This window comes from Homo sapiens, chromosome 7 (genome assembly GCF_000001405.40).
Source record: "Homo sapiens chromosome 7, GRCh38.p14 Primary Assembly".
NCBI classification, from domain to species: domain Eukaryota; kingdom Metazoa; phylum Chordata; class Mammalia; order Primates; family Hominidae; genus Homo; species Homo sapiens.
In genome coordinates, this window is record NC_000007.14 from 124998530 (window position 1) to 125016661 (window position 18132).

General features: G+C 33.7%; 1 long non-coding RNA gene across 2 annotated transcripts in view; it reads left to right on the plus strand.

Moving 5' to 3' along the window:
- Positions 1–18132, plus strand: part of POT1-AS1 (POT1 antisense RNA 1) — a 215362-nt gene that overhangs the window by 68657 nt on the left and 128573 nt on the right. The window contains exon 3 of one of the 2 annotated variants that reach the window (NR_125718.1): positions 2153–2483. The exons of the other annotated variant lie outside the window; for it this stretch is intronic. This is a non-coding gene — a long non-coding RNA (POT1 antisense RNA 1). The remainder of the gene's footprint in view (positions 1–2152; positions 2484–18132) is intronic. 2 annotated transcript variants of the gene reach the window in all.

Consider the following 18132-nt stretch of genomic DNA (forward strand, 5'->3'; position numbering starts at 1 on the left):
AAATGGGATAAAGGATATTTAAATATAGCATTATCTAAGATTTCCTAATCTATTTATTCATTTAGTTACATTCTACAAATCTTCCAGATATAAATGTGATACAAAGAGACTCATATATTGTCTATACTCTAGGGCTATATATAGGGAAAAGACAGATATATGCATTCAACTGTAATTTATGGCAGAATGTGATGAGTCAATTATAGATTCAAAGCAAGATATGTATGTACAGATAAGAGCATAATTCTCTGTAAGTAATCAGAGGAATTTTCTTGGAAGAGAAGGGATTTGAATAATTGAACTGAGCCTTACAATTTAGGTAAGGTTTTGCTCCTCAAAGCTACAGAGAGAGTTTCATCAATGCCCCCTAGTCAATAAATCTATTGATCAGGTGAGTAGTCAGTCTAGTGTGGCTAGAGTATAGGGAACAGAGAGATAAGAGAGGAGAGGCACATGAGGTCAAGATCAAGGTCATAAAGGACCCTGGAATGCCAAAGCTAAAGTTTAGGTTTTTTTTTTTTTTTGAGACATGGTCTTGCTCTGTTGCCCAGGCTGGAGTGCAGTAGGGCAATCATGGCACACTGCAGCCTCAACCTCCTGGGTTCAGAAGATCCTCCCACCCAAGCCTCCTGAGTAGGTAGGTGTGGGAGTTCAATCAGGGTTGTGGGAAAAATTGTAGAAAGATGCAAACCTTCTTGGGAGGCTGGAAGGTTTTATAATAGTTTCAGTAAAAGATTTGGCTGAAGGCAGCTGAATTCTCTTAAAAGCTTAGGGTGTAGATATAAGGAATGTAGGGGAGTATATCTAAATAGCATGTTTACTCATGTGGTCCTAAGACTGACCTTTGATCATTTGAGGGTGACACTGCTCTCTCCAGGGGAGGGTGACCAGATTAATTACCCACAGGTGTATTGACCCAAAGCCTTTGTCATTTAATCTATACTAAATAAATGCAAACTTCACCGGCTTATCAGCACACACTGTGGACTCAGGCAGCAGAGACCCTTAGCTGTGCTGACAGGCGAAATATCTGTGTCAGTGTAAGTCTTTCATTCATCTCTGGGTCAGGGTCTGCAGGTCGGACCTGGCAGCTGGGACTATAGGCATGCATCAACATGCCCAGCTAATTCTTAAATATTCTGTAAAGATGAGGTCTCACTATGTTGCCTAGACTGGTCTCAAACTACTGACTTAAAGTGATTCTATCTCCTTGACCTTCCAAAGTGCTGGGATTACATGCATGAACCACCACACCTGTCTCAAAGCTAAAGTAGCTGGATGACATTCCTTAGGAAACATCAAGTCAATAAAAAATTTTCATGGGTGATACAGTTATTTTTTTTTAAATCATGTTCTCCTCAATATGTCTACAATACAACTGTTTCTTTGTCTCATTACCCAGATGACTGATTATGAGTTTTGGTCTGCTTTCAGAGAGTTATCCTTCTTTCCCTATTTCTTGATAGCTTTTCTTTTCAGATTCTAACTTTTGACATTTGAAATATGAGCCTCTGAACTACAGTGTCTGTATTGAATTATTTGGTAAAGTCATAAATGTATTATTTAGTCAAGTCATAAACTTGAATTTGTATACGTCAGGAATTTGTTTTAAATCTTAGTTTTTTAAAAAGCTTACCATATATAAAAATTTTGGCACTAGTGTCACCACTGTTCTTATAACATTAACTAAATTCTTCAAAATCAATCTGACTCATTTTTTACTTTAACCTAATTTCTAGTATGAGATCCACAGAGATCACTCAGCTGCCATCAAAATGTGATATAGGAATAAGATAACTGAATTGACATGTATTCCTTAGAGTAACTCTATCCACCATTTCTTTCTCCAAAAGAGTTTTGATAGCTTGTCAAACATTTTATTATGAAGAGTCATTATGTGACTGACTTCACCAAACTCCCTATCAGTACACATCCAATCAGGCTTAAAATAGAATTAGTGTTTTCCCAATTGTTTCTAGTGTTGTGAATAAGAATTGTTCACCTCAAGATATTCTGAGAGGTAACATGGTACAGTGGATTGAGGAACAAAGAGAAAGTTTTGAATCTAGACATCTATTTTTCATCATAGAATTTTCAGATAAATTTAGAGGATTTGACTTCACTTCTTTCTATAATATATTCTCTTGTCTAGGTCCTAAGCTTCCCTGATGGTATTTGGCATCTGTTTTTAAGAAAAGGATGAAGGCCGGTCACATTGGCTCACGACTGTAATCCCAGCACTTTGGGAGGCCCAGGCGGGCAGAGGACTTGAGGGCCTAAACCCGGCCAACATGACGAAACCCCATCTCTACTAAAAATACAAAACTTAGCCAGGCGTGGCAGTGCTCACCAGCTACTTGGGAGGTTGAGGCACAAGAATTGCTTGAACCCAGGAGGCAGAGGTTGCAGTGAGCTGAGATTGTGCCACTGCACTGTACTCCAGCCTGAGCAACAGAGCATCCAAGAGGATGCTGATGCTCTTGGTAAGATATTTATTGGACAAATACCTTATTTGTTCTCTCCTGCAGTTTTAAGTTCTTGCATCATGATTCCTATTACAGCTCCAAATTAAACAGAATTCCTCTTCACTTTTGTTAAACTGCTTGTCACACTTTGTCTTTGTTTTTAAGATGATAGATCTGTCAATGTGAAATGTTCCATATTACAGTTCTGTTTCTTTAGGACAAAAATGAAATCCAAGCTATTTCTAAAGGAAGAAAATTGCTTCACTGCACTCTTTCTCTGTCTCTTTTATTCCTGACAATGAATACACAAATGTATGATTTCATAAAATACCCTTACCCAATTTTGAGGCTTATATATGTGTTTATTGATTTAATCTTAATTTTTTATTGGTAAACTTATTTAGCAGTTCAATTCCACTTTTTGAATATGCATAAAAAGAGGTAGATTCACCAACACAATTGAACACTACTCAATCCTTATTATCATAGGATAATTTCACTTAATTTCAACATACATCTCTATCTTTTAGAAACAAAATAATTTAAGATATATCTTAAATTATTGATTTATAATCATATCAATGAGGACTTTAAAATTATATATGAATATAAAATGTTCAATATGAATTTGTTTTTCAGTTGCATGATTTTTATTAACTATTACAGTCAACTATCTATATCTGTTGGTTCTGCATTTATGAATTCAACCGAAGATAAAAAATATTTAAAAATATATAAAAAATACAGCAATAAAATAATACAAATTTAAAAGAATGCAGCATAAAACTGTTTACATAGCATTTACATTGCATTAGATATTATAAGTAATCTAGAGATGATTTAAAGTATGTGGGAGGATGTAGATAGGTTATACGCAAATACTACACCATTTTATATAAGGGACTTCAGCATTGGCAGATTTTGGTATTCAAGGGGGAGTGCTGGAACAAATTTTCTGTGGATATGGAGGGATGACTTTACTTTTAAAGAGGTGAAACTTGGCCACTTTGCCTAGAACTTAGTGAGGGAAGTGAGGAGAGACAGAAGCTAGATGTGGGTAGGGGCAATGGTGTGCTCTTCATGCTTGATTTCTTATGCCTCAGAAGGAAGAACGTTTTAAAAGCTGGCTACCTGTAAGAATGAATTGGAAAACCAAAGAGACAAAAATACACAAGAAAACATGAAATGTCAACAAGAGTAAGAGGTGGTCAAATGTGGACATTTGTTCCACTTAACTGAATTGTGGGTGAACACTGGAAACTAATTTGCAACCTTTGATGTAATTATCTATGCATTAATGTTACCCTAGACTTTTAAAAGAGCTAATTACAAACATTTTACATTTATGTAATAATTAAATTATTTATCTTTCCTTGCAGTTATGCATAAGCCAATTAAGTCATTTACTGAAGAGGTTAGATTGACTTTTATATCATCATTGAAATTGCTATGACTTATGACAGATTTGTCCTCTCCTTCTCAATGTCAATTTTAGAAACTTAAAATCCAATTAAATTGCTGACTTGAGAGTGGATTTTTGAAAAGTTTAGACACTCAGTTATTCAAAATATATTTAAGGCTCAGTAATAGAGAAGCACTTGATTTTCTTTGGATTTGAAGCAACTATTGTAAGAAAAATAGATTGTTCACAAGAGTTTGAACATTTCTTTTCCTGTAAGTATTTGTATTGTGTTTTATTATACTTGCTTGAAAACTTGATAACTTGTTCAGATTTCAGAATCTCATCACTATTTTCTTTCAGGGATGGAAATGCATTTCTATCAGGACATAAAAAAGTCTATGGGTTTGTCACCTTTGAGTAGGATTCATTGTCATCTCTCAAAAATCTATGAAAATTCAAAACAAAAGATATCATCCTTTTAGGAGATGTTGTAATTCACTCTCTAAATGATTTACCTGTATTATATTTGAATCTGCCAATTTTTCTGCCTTCTAGAATAAAAATAATTAGACTGGTGGGATACTCTGTGATCTCTAATAATATTTGTTGAAGCTGGCTCTTGGATATAAAATGTCTATACATTTATATTTTTCAAAAGTTCTAAATAACTGAAAATTATCAGGGATAAGAGGATGCTATTACAAGTTGAAAGATTAGCATATCATATGGATTAAAAAACAGTGTGATGAAACTGGTATTACAGTGATTTGCCTCTCAAATATTCACCTGATGTTATTTAAAGACTTTGATGCTTACTGCAATGCTGCAACACATCGGACACTCAATTAAATCTTGTTCAAGAAATGAATGAACTTTGAGTAAAATCTTGTTCTTAATTTTTAAAGTTTTATTTATGTAGTATAATATTAAAATATTTTACTACATCATTAAAAACCCAGATGATTCTATTAGTTTGTGGACAGGATTTTTTCCATAATTAATTTCATTTTATGACACACACTGCAAAGTGATCATACCTGGAAGGTATAAAATAAATCCCAAATACTTAAAAAACTAGTTATGTTCCACAAAACATGTTTTGAACTAGTCTCAATAGTTTCTTTGAAATGTAAAATTTATTTACTCTACTATTTCAAAAGTTCCGTTAGTATTCTAAAGACTAAATTAGACAATATTTCTACTGTCTGAAAGGATCATAATGACAAAAATTTATGCTACCAATAATATGGGAAAATATTATTTGTTAGAAAGAACCCTTATATTTAACTAGTATGGAAAGGGATATATCAATTATTTTCTGATCATAGATAAAGTGTAATGGTGAAGTGTTTGTTCAGTAATATGTCCCATTACATATTATTTTGTTTCTGTGAGGTTCTATTATATATTCTCTTTAGCACATGAAATCAGTTAAAATTTTAGAATAAATTTACTTTTCTCAAAAAAACCCCCACCAGATTACTCACACCATAGGACAAATTTAAAGCATTTTGTAGTTGAATAAGGCCTTAAAGATAATATAGCTTAACTTCTACCTTCTCTTCCCCTTTTCCTCTACCCACATTTTGCACGTAGGTAAATTGAGAATGAATGAAATTCCATGTTTTGAAGGTCCTACTACGTATAACTAGTGACCAGGAGAGGACGAGAGTCTTCTGACCTCCAATTTTTGTGGCTTTACCCACTGCGCATTTCTGCTTCTTTCCAAAATTTGGGCCCTTAAATTATCAGTGTCTTAGGGTGAAATTCAAGCCCTCCCAAGCACAATTTTCCATTTAGTTTCCTTTTATCTTTGTATGAATAGTATGACAGGGAAGCCTGGTTGAGGATAAGGGACATTCACGAGGTTTAAGGGACGTGTTTAAGACTACATGTACTTAGCCTAAGGGACAGGACAATAAACAAAACCTAAGACCCTATAGTCAGTACATTTTTCACTAAATCAAAAAGCTTCTGGTATAAATGTGCATTCAAGCCAGAGCATATTGCCATGCTGGGGGAAGGAAGAGCATGATTATGGCAAAAATATGTAAATGAGCACCTGCTGAAGACCACCAGAGCCATCTGCTCCTTGGAATCACGTACCCATTTACCAACCTCTTTTTGTTAGCTTTTCCCCTCAGTTGTTCAGGACATGAAGGGAGGACCACATTCTCTAATTATGAATTTTAAAGCATTAGCAATAATTGAGATCATCTCATAAAATGAACTTGCCAAAGAAGTGCCTGCTTGATTTAGTGGACTAGTATCTTAAACTGCTTGGAGACCTATGTGCGAATCTTAAAGAAATTGTGGCCAAAAAAATTCTTAAAGTTGACCCTATAGATTATCAGAATCAGAATGAGGTATTCATTCTAGCATTGGCTATATCTCTGATTTATGATTCTAGCATCCTTTAGAACCTCAACCAAATCCCATCAATGTACTCCACTAAATACCTTTCCTAGTTCTATTAGTGTCTATTAAAAAGTCCATTAGTAGACTAGTCATTGATATTGACATTATAAAAATTGTGCATAGCTGCATAGACAATTTGAAATATGCAGAAAACAAGAAAATGGAAATGAAAGAATAAAAGACACAAGTAATTACCACCTAGATAGAGTTGCTCATTTTAGGTATATATTTTTTCACTATGTGTGAATATATATGTAAAATTTGTGAATAAATGAAAAATACAAATAACATCAGGTACGGTTTATTTACATATATTCAAAACGTAACATTCTAGACATACAAAATTTTATCATTTAACAATGTATTGTGAAAATGTACTGTGTCATATAATATTTTATAACATCATTTATCATTTTTGCATGGTGTAGATGAATTCTGGTTGATTTAATTATTCCCTTTTGTTTTATACTTAGGTTGCTAGCAGTATCTTTATTCTAATTAACTTTTATAAAAATCATTACACATATATCTTGGCACACATATCTAATTATTTCCTTAGAAAAATATTCTCAAAGTGGGAATTGTTGGGTCAAAGAGTATAAACCTTACTCCTAAAAGATATTTTTGAAGACTTATGTATATATGGTAAGACGTTTTAACCTAATTATTCTCATCATCATAGTCACCATTCCTGGACATTTATTATCTGCTGAATGCAGCTCACATTACATGGGTTTTCTTATTTATTTGGCACAACAAAATCCTTTGTGTTTACTATTATTATGCTCGATACTGAGATTTGGTGGAAGATAAATTTTAATAATTTTGTATATTTTTAAAGTGTATTTGACCTTGCCAGCACTCTATATCCTTATCTTTTATGCAAGCTGGTTTTGTAAGCCTTAACTTATTACTGTTAATAGTCCCCTGTACCTCCATAAATTTTTTTTTGAGACAGAGTCTCGCTCTGTCGCCCAGGCTGGAGTGCAGTAGCATGATCTTGGCTCACTGCAACCTCTGCCTCCCGGGTTCAAGTGATTCTTGTGCCTCAGCCTCCCAAGTGATTCTTGTGCCTCAGCCTCCCAAGTACAGGCATGTACCACTATGCCCGGCTAATTTTTGTATTATTATTATTATTTTATTTTTTAGTAGAGACAGGGTTTTACCATGTTGGCCAGGCTGGTCTCAAACTCCTGACCTCAGGTGGTCCACCTGCCTAGGCCTCCCAAAGTGCTGGAATTACAGGCATGAGCCACCGCGCCTGGCTACCTCGATAGATTTTTATGTCCTAACATAGAAGGGCATGAACTACAAAACTACTCTGCCAATTCACTCACTTACTTATAACAAGGACCTTTTTTTCCCACATAAAATTGTGAATACTACTTGCTACTATTCTTCCATAATTATCCTTTTGTTCTGGCTACTATCTCAAAGATAGGTAGATAATTTATAGCTGCACACATTACAAACCTGTACTTGCCATCATTCTCTCTTTGAATCTGACTCTGAAAAACAGGACTGGCTTCTAGAGGAAGTGGATGGGATTGATTATACTACCAAATAAGGAAGTACTATGGAGTAGAATTTGGGTGATGGTTAAGAACTGCCTATAGTGTGTATGACAATTTGTCATACTACATATACATATTACATGTGTACATTACATGTGGGGGCCTAATTTGATGTAGCACATATTAAAGACTATGCAACAGCACTTTTTGTAGCAAATTACATCATATTAGCTGCTAATTCTTTCTTAACGAATGGTAAAAAATTGGGCAAAAAATGAGTTCTGGAATATGGTATTTCAGTATAAAATCATGTATGCAAATTAATTCATTCTATTTTTAGTTTTTATGCTTCTCATTAGGTCTTCTTTTCCTCTCTGTTAATGTTAGGTATCTATACTTGTCAATGGACAAAAATGAATTTTTATCAGTGACTTTTTTAGCAATAATAATGTTTTAATAATAACTTCATTATGCTGCCTTTTCTTTATGTAGCTAAATAATGTGAAAATGGGTGTAATAAATAACATTCTTAAATACATGGGTAAGTTATAAAAAATATGTAGGTTAATTTAACTCTCTGTTCTCAATAATATTACTCATAACTGCAAGAAATATCACATTTTAAACACAATCTAAAAGAGAACTAAATAAATTTTCAATTAATTCTCTTAAGACTTGCCCTTTGATCAGCAAGCTTCCCCAATTAAAAATAAAAAAAATCCATAGCTGTTAAATCCACAATTATATTTTGTGACTAACCATTTACAATATAATTTCACTACAAAGAACACTTTTCAAGTTATTTTCAACACTTTTAATAGAGCTCTAAACTTTTAATACGAGTAGTTTTTATCCAGACTATCCAGACTTGTTAACCAACCGTCACTGTGAGTGTAATGAAGGCTTCTACGGGTTTGGAGAGGGAGAATGTGCTGGACGAGCAATTTATCACTTAGCCTCACCAGCCAAAAGACACTTTGGCTCCCATCAAACCACTTTCAAGAGCCACATTGAAAACAACCAATTTGATAGTGCCACAGGTGTAGTAATTACATCTTTTAATTCTGCATTTTAACTTTTTTTTCAGCATTTTAGGTTTGATCAGGCTGCCTTCTCATTGGGGAGTGATTTCATTTCTCCCTCTCTTTTTAAAGTTTTCCTTCTAGGAATTGCATGTACCAGTAAATATTATGATGACCTCATTTCTTTTCTGAAATGAGGTTTTAATTAGCTTTATAGCAATAAAGGAAAATTTATTTTCACCACTTTTTATACACACCATTCACATATTTTTGATTTAGTACTGGGAACCCAGGGATATCATCTTATTTTCCCGAATTACTGATTGTTTAATTGTACTCAGTTTTTTAAAGGTAATATTTCCTATTTTATTAATTATTCAGGTACCAAAACCAGATACAACAGTTACAAATAAAGATGACTGTGGACCAATATTCCATATGAATATAGACATATAAATTTTCAGAAATACTAGCAGACTGAATGTAGCAACATATACAAATAATTATACCTCATGACCAAGTAAGATTTTTTCACAAATGCTATGATGGCTTAATATCCAAAAATCTACCAATATGTTACATCATATTATTTATCGGAAAATTTTAGACCTTGAAAAGCTCTTATCAGAGTTCAGTTTAACATGCTTTCTGCTGAAACCTACTGGGCTTGAATCATCAGTTAACCTAATAATCTCTATGGTGGATCATCAGCTGTGTGGGACTTATATTTTCATATTTTCAGTAGTTGGTATAGTCATTGGAGAACTGCAGAAAAATCAAAGTGGAATGGATTTTAGGAAATAATTTGGTTCTAACAATTTGTGGCCTGTTCCAAAGTAAGTTTTCCCCACTGTTCTCCAACCATATTTCTAAACTCTCCTGTTTTGTTGAAGTATTAAGAGACCAACATTAATATATTTTTGTGGTCTTAATTCTTCCTATTACTCTCCGTTTAAATGTTTTAAACACAAAATTTGCACATAGTTTGATACCAAACATTTTTAATATGACCTGTGAGGCATTGTGTCTTACAGCCCCTACATGATAATGTGAAGGAGCTGGCTTGTACCAACTTGCAAGAGCTAAACTTTCAGAAATTTTGTGAGCCGGTTGTTAAACCCAGATATTATTTTAAGATAATTATATAAACTTAACATTAAATAGATTATATAACAAACATAGGTAATAAATATTTGAAACTCATCACTTCATAATTATTTGGCTATATTTTATTATTATCTTGAGGTTACTTATTGTGTCTGTGTCATGGAAATACCATTTAATGGAGTGTTACTGGCAGCTCTTTCCAATTCAGCATTTTATGATGATATGTTGATCTCTTAAAATTGGCCATGATGGGAATATTTACACCACAGGAGTTGGCAAATGCTAAAAATCAGAACTTGATTTACTGTTTTGTTGACCGTATAGACGTAAGAAAGTGACAAAAGAAAATATATCATATGGCGCCTACACAATAGTGTGAAGGAGATGCTTTCTTAATAATACAGAGTAAACTTTTAAGTGTCATGTCTATTCCTGTCACATTGTGAATATCACAAAAAATAAAAAATATGTTTCCAGTTTGGGAAAACTATTCTATAATTCAACAAGGAAGGCCTTTATGTCATTGACCAACAAATAAGGTTCAGACGTATATCTTCATTTCACTTTTGGCTTATTAATGGAAATGAAAATATCAACCAACATTAATGTTAAAGCTACACTTGTTAACTGCAGTCATAGAACATAAGAGTTCAGCAAAAATCAATAAAATCACTCTGTGAGAACTAATTTGCTATATAGAATTTATAGCAGAGTATTATGCATTTCATTATTCTCTGTAAATTATTTGCAAATTTGTGCTTTTTTTCCTCAGAGCCAATTCAAAAATCAGGCATAAGAAACTGGGCATAAGAGCACACCACTATCCCTCCCTACATCTAATTCTTGTCTCACACTTCTCTCTGAGCTCTAGGCAAATTCGCTAGTTTTTACTTCTTTATTTTATAAATTATTTGATTGACACAATATTTGTACATATTTATGGGTACATGTGATATTTTGTTACATGCATAGAATATGTAATGATCAAGTCAGGGTATTTAGGATATTCATCACTTTGAGTATTTATCATTTCTATGTGTTGGGAGCATTTTAAGTCTACTCTTCGAACCATTTTGAAATATATAATACCTTGTTGTTAACTATAGTTGGTTACTATAGACACCCTACTCTTCTATCAAATGGTGGAACTTATTCCTTCTATCTTTCTGTATGTTTGTACCCTTTAACCAACCACTCTTCACTCCGCTATCCACACACTCTTTCAAACCTTTGTTAACTATTTTTCTATTCTTTACGTTCATGAGACTCATTTTTTTAACTCCCGCATATGAGTGAGAACGTGCCATGTTTGTCTTTCTGTGCCTGGCTTATTTCACTTAACATAATGACCTCCAGGTCCATCCACGTTGCTGCAAATGACATGATTTCATTAATTTTTTTTTAGGGCTGAATAGTTTTCCATTACGTATATATACCATATTTTCTTTCTTTTTTTTTATGAGACAGAGTCTTGCTCTGTTGCCCAGGCTGGAGTGCAGTGGTGCGATCTCGGCTCACTGCAGGCTCCACCTCCCGGGTTCACGCCAGTCTCCTGCCTAAGTCTCTGGAGTAGCTGGGACTACAGGCGCCGGCCACCATGCCCAACTAATTTTTTTTTTTTTTTTTTTTTTTTTTTTTTTTTTTTTTTTTTTACCGTGTTAACCAGGATGGTCTTGATCTCCTGACCTCATGATCTGCCCGCCCCAAAGTGCTGGGATTACAGGCATGAGCCACTGCTTCTGGCCGTGTTTTCTTTATCTATTTGTCTGTTGATGGACACTTAGGCTGATTCTGTCTTTGGTATTGTGAATAGTATTGCAATAACAGGGGGTGAAGGTATTTTTTATATTCTGATTTTCCTTCCTTTGGGTAAATAACCAGTAATGGGTTAGTTCCAGGACCCTCAGCGATACCAAAATTCATGGTTGCTCAAGTCCGTTATGTAAAATGGTAAGTATTTGCATATAACCTACATACGTTGTCTCATATAATTTAAATCATCTCTACATTATCTATAATACCTAATACAATGTAAATTGTATGTAAACACTGTTGTATTATTTAGGGAATAAGAAAAAAGTCTGTACATATTCAGTACAGATGCAACCATTTATTTTTTTCTGAATGTGTTCAATCAATCCAAATTCATGAATACTTATGGATATGGAGGACTGACTGTATTAAGCTTCTTTTCACTTTCTTACACATTACTCTCTCAGAAGAGATTCTCTTCTCTCCTTATCTGGCCAACATCTGCTCAGCCTTAACAACTTAAAATTTCAGCTTACGTCAGCATAAATACATCTTTATCATTGCAAACAAGAAAAAAAAGCTATCCTTTTTTTTGACTTTACACACTACTCAATTTCCACCATAATTTTTTGCAACTTTTCACAGCATCTTATTTTAAAAGCTATTTTTACTGTCTCCCTATTCTCCCTTTTCATTTTTACTTTAATAAACTCCAAATGAACTGTTTTTTCCAACTTTGCAGCGAAATAGCTCTTGCATGTTACCAATCTCTTGATAACTCCTTTGTCTTCATCTTCATCTTTCAGCAGCAGTAGATGGTTAACCATTATTGATTTCTTGGGTCACCTTATTGTCTTAACTTCTCTACTACTACACTTCAGTGGCTTCTACTTCTCATCCTACTTTTCTGGTTTCTTTTGTGACTGATTTCTGAACAATAGATGTCCCAGGGATTGAACTTTGGCTCTTTTTTCTTTCTCCATAGATAATTTTTTTTTCAATCCTGTGGCTCTGAATACCTGAATACCATCTACTTTTGACTGACTGTCAAATTTGTATCTTTAGCTCCAAACATCCCAGAACTCTAGGTTATATAATGTGCCACTTGTATCTATAAATTTAAACATCTAATAGGCATCCAAAATTTTACATGTACAAAACAAAGGAATTGGTTTCCACTACCCTCTCTCCTGAACTGCAAACTTTCTCAAGCCAAAGACACAATATTTATCTACTAGGTATGTCCCTTAAATCCCATATGAAAGTCCACCCGTAAAACTTGTTAACATTACTAGCAAAACTAATCTAAAATTTTTAGCAGATTGTGTGAATTAGCCTCTAAGTATATCTCCAAAGAAGAACAATACCACACTCTCTTCCTGTAAGCCATGAGAAATAAATGGTGAGTGACAACATCTTTCAAAAATCATTTATTAACTGTTTTCTCTAAGACAGGGCTGCTCATAATCTTACTCACTGACAGAAATAAAATTATCAACCAACAAAATGTTAAAGTAAACGACAAACTCCTCCCTCACTTGGTTTCCTGACTTAAGGAGAAAGGGATAGTGTGGAGCAAGGGAAGATCCTAGAGTTTTTCTTCTTTGCAAAAGCAATATGATATCAAAAGTAATATCAAAACTTAAAAGTTGCAGTTTTAGTGATTCTTATTATGTCCCTGTTTAACCACCTGATTTGGCAGGTGCAGAAGATGAATGCATTTTGGATAATGTTAGTGGATTATTATAAATGTTGTCAAGCTGGTGGATTTCCTTGCTGAGGAAATTTTTACCAACTGTGGTAAATAGTGGGTAAACACATTTGTAACCTTGGAAATAATGTTTAATCTTGCCCAATGGCTAAAAAAAAAAAAAACCCTCCAGAATGAGTTTTATTACATTGAGCAAGGAGAATAATACAAATTCATAGTCTTGTCTCAAGGATTCATGAAAGGTATAGTCTGTGGGAACTAATTATCTCATCATCCTATAGGTTGTCACTTTGGTCTACTGATGACATTAGGCTGACAATACCTGGAGAATGAGAAGTTGTTTATGCCGAGATGCCTAGGTAGGACAAGTATGTATCAAAGGATAGGGAATAATAACCATGAAAATTAAGTTCCTGCAGCCTCAGTGGAGCTTCTGGAAGACTAGTGAGTAAGAGTATACATTGAGATATGTTTTCCCAAGTGCAAGTGGTTCCACCTTATATCACCTACTTTAAGAAAGAGGCACAATGCTTGTAGGACCACTTCTTATTTTGATGACAACATATAGACTTGTATAATTCAATGAGGCAAAAATTCAGTAAGTTACAGTAAAAATGTATATTCATCAAATTTTGAGATAGAATAAAGGCTTTCTTTGTGCCTTTGATTTGCTTAGATTACTATTTGGTTAGCTTATTATTGTATTTTTTCATAACCACATCCAGCTTTTATAAACTGGGTGAGTACTAGAAGTACTTTCAAAGAAATTTAAGTGTGGAGGTCTTTACAGAAATCCAGATTTTCTCCACTTTTATTATTGTCTTATATGTAAATGATTATAAAGTTATTTAAGTTACTTGGACCTTTCCACATATTCAACTTAGTTTTTATAGAGTCAAATTCCTTTTTTACATACATATTTCACTAGCTTACATGATAGTTAACTAACTTATGTGTTATAGATGAAAGCACAAACAGGTTTCAGAATAAATATAATGGAACTTTGGGAAGCATATAATAATTCAATAATACCATTGGGAGCAATGGTATATGGGTGTATGACAGCATTTGTTAATTCTGCAAGAAGGTGAAAGTTACATGGAGATGGCTAAGAGGGTTGCTAGTTTATTACATTTATGTATACACTTATCAAACCTATCTGACTGATGATTTGAAGGACCACTCACCTTTAGAGGCACCAAGACCAATAAAAGGGTGATGTGCAAGCACTGTGCTTCTTAGCCCTTAAGACTCAGTAGATCCAATGGTGATCAGTTTGTTTATGAACGATCAGGATACTATATGGGCTCTTACTTGATGAGCCCTATATTTTAGTGGTCCAATAAGCTACCTACTAGCAGGTTAATTAGTTGGACAGATTCTGTCATTCCTCAAAAGATGTTTGTGTTGAATTGTAGATAGAGGGTAGAATGCTGGTTACCAGAGGCTGGGAAGGGTAGTGAGTGTGGGGGAAAGTGAGGATGGCTACTGGGTCCAAAAATATAATTAGAATGAATAAAATCTGGTATTTGATATCACAACATAGTGATTACAGTCTACAAAAATACATTTAAAATAACTAAAAGAGTATAATTGGAATGCTTGTAACACAAAGAAATGATAAATGCTTGAGGTAATGAACACCCCATTTACTCTGATGTTATTATGTATTGTATGTCTGCAACTAAATATATCTCATATATTCCATATATATATATATATATATACACACCTGGTATGTACTTATAAAACTAAAAACTAGGTTGGGTGCAGTGGCTCACACCTGTAATCCCAGCACTTTGGGAGGCCGAGGTGGGTGGATTACCTGAGGTCAGGAGTTTGAGACCAGCCTGGCCAACATGGTGAAACCCATCTCTACTAAAAATACAAAAAATTAGCCAGGCATGGTGGTGGGCTCCTGTAATCCCAGCTACTTGGGAGGCTGAGGCAGGAGAATTGCTTGAACCCGGGAGGTGAAGGTTGCAATGAGCCGAGTTCGCACGTCATTGCACTACAGCCTGGGCAACAAGAGCGAAACTCTGTCTCAAAAACAGAACAGAACAAAACAAAACAAAACCACAACAATAAAAAACACTAAAAGCTAAGAAAGATATTTATTTTGGATTAAATGGGCTTAAATAGAATTACTGTAGTACATATCAACAAAAGGATAGTGTTACCATGAGTGCTGAAGTGTTAACCTAGAGTATTAATTAAAAATAGGATATTGATACACAATACGGGCAGGAAGAAGTATGGATGAAACTCAACTGATTCTTTGGAAACTCTCATGGTACTTGCAACAACCAGTGCTAGGGATTAAGGAAAGACTACTGCAACCCTCAGATCTTGGGAATGAAGCTATGATCACCATCTTGGAATCACCGTGATCATCATCCTGAAAGTACTAAAGAAGGTTTAAGCATCAATCAGAAAAACTGAATTTACAACTAGATGTAGGAACTGCAGAGACCCTGGCTAGAAGATCAGAAGATCAGCTCTATATACTGTCTATACTGGGAAGCCAAAGGTGTGAACTTTATTTCTAAATTTAAATTTAAAAAAATTTTTTTGAGACAGAGTCTCCAGCTTCAGTCTCCAGGCTTAAGATCATTATTTACAAAGTGAACTTGGAGTTTTTCCCTTTCAATATCCTGTTAGGATTAAATATCTTTATACCCTAAAAAATAAAAGTACATCTACTATGAAAAAAATCCCATGTCTACATTTTGTTGTGCTTATTGATTTTAAATCAGCATAATATTCATTCAGTTAATACAATCTTCTCTGATTTAATTTGCATGATTTTATTTCTAGTGCATAAGATTGAACATGGAAAAGTAATTTTTTACATTTCTTCTTTTGCAAATTTTCTTTACAATTCTTAACATATTAAAGATATTACATATATTACAAATATTTTTATCCATTTTATTAGCCTCATTTTGATTGTTGACATTTTTTGCCATATAGAAAATTAATTTTTTAAAGTTAACACAACAATCTCTTCTTGGTACTCTTTCCTTTATCTTGGATCTTAGGCCTTGGTAAGACTGCCACCCCTCTTTATCCACTAATCACAAGTGAGTAATAACAGCTTTATTTTGTTGCTACATTTTGTATCACGCTTTTGGCTTTTAGCTGTTTCATGACTGGAAAAACCAATTCCCTATATTAAATTCCCCCTGCTTGAAATGCCTAGAATTTTTTTGGTACTTTTAGTTCATTGGAAAATCTCTGGAATTTGTTTCTCTAAATAATATAAGAAAGTTAATCATTTTTCTAATGATTTGACCAGCTGTTACAAAAAGAGTTGTTTAATCATCCAATCTTATACTGAGATTTAGAAATGCCTCTTTTAGCAAACACTAAATAAATCTGCTTCTGGAATTTCCATTCGTTCCATTAATATTTCCCCATATGTGTGTTCTACACAGTTTGTTAAGATCTTACAATACCTGGTAACTTAAGATTGTAATCATTTGATGTAGTTTTCAAAATTGTCTATTGTTTTGTTCCATTCATATTATGTTATTATGTTGTTCTGTTATATTATTCTTTCAAAAATTGCTACCATTTTACCAAGTTTGACAGAGTCCTGAGGGTTATTTACAAAAATGACATTATTGTGAAAAGAACTTTCTAATATCCTTTTTTTGCAGCTCTGAACATGAAATGCTTTCCATTTGTTTAAGTTCTGTTTTAGACATTTGGTATAATTTTGTGATGTTTATTCTGTAGGTTTTTCACTTATTCTTAGATACTACATTTTTGCTAAAAAGCATAAAATATTTTATATTTTCTCCATCTTATTGGTATTTTAAGAAACTGTTATTTTAAAATGTACTTTATTTAAAAATCAAAGTACAAAAGTGTACTGAAAATAACATGAGGATGTATCACTTTCCTTTTCTGTTGCTTTATTTTCAAGATTCCTGTCATGTAAAATATTAAATCTCTCCCATATCTTTGGTCTTATTTTGTATTTTCTATTTGTCATATTTTCTCCTCCTTTATTGTTTGCTGCATTTTATATACCTCATTTTTCTTAAACATTAAAAAAGTGTTTAACTTTATACAATTTTACAATTACCCCTCCATTTTCTAGCACTGTCTTAAATTTCTTAGAAGATTAGTTTTTAATCTAATTCTTTAACATACCATCTCTTTATTCACTCTATTCCTTTCTTTTTTTGTGTTGTTTGTCATTTCCATATCTGTTTTTCTTGTTTCTCAATATTTATTTCATACATGTTATCTCCTTATATTTTATGCTAAATTGAAGTATAATTTGTTGGCTAAATGTTATATCTCACCATTTCGCTTTTCAGTTAATTAGTAAATCAGTTGCTTCTGCCGTAATGGCTCAGGTACCCCAGCCATCTGAGCCAATCATTCAGCATGTGGCATTTTTCCGTCTGCAGGAACTGTTTCAAGAGAAGTTCAGGGAATATAGGCTCAAGCCTCTGATTCACTGAGGGTGAGAAGAGTTCTTTCCTGCTGGACATGAATATTTCTTGCAGATGTCTTATGATTAAAGATGATATCAGCCTTAGAACAAAAGTGACACTGTGAATGGCAGCGAGAAGAAAGACAGAGAGAGACAGAGAGAGAAGAGAGAAAACAATCCCAGAGTAAACCCATCATGAATTATTCTCTGCCTCTGGAGTTTCATTTATGTGAGTCGATTGTGTCCTCATTGTTTAAGTTTTGCCACTCAAAGAGTCGTCCATGAACTAGC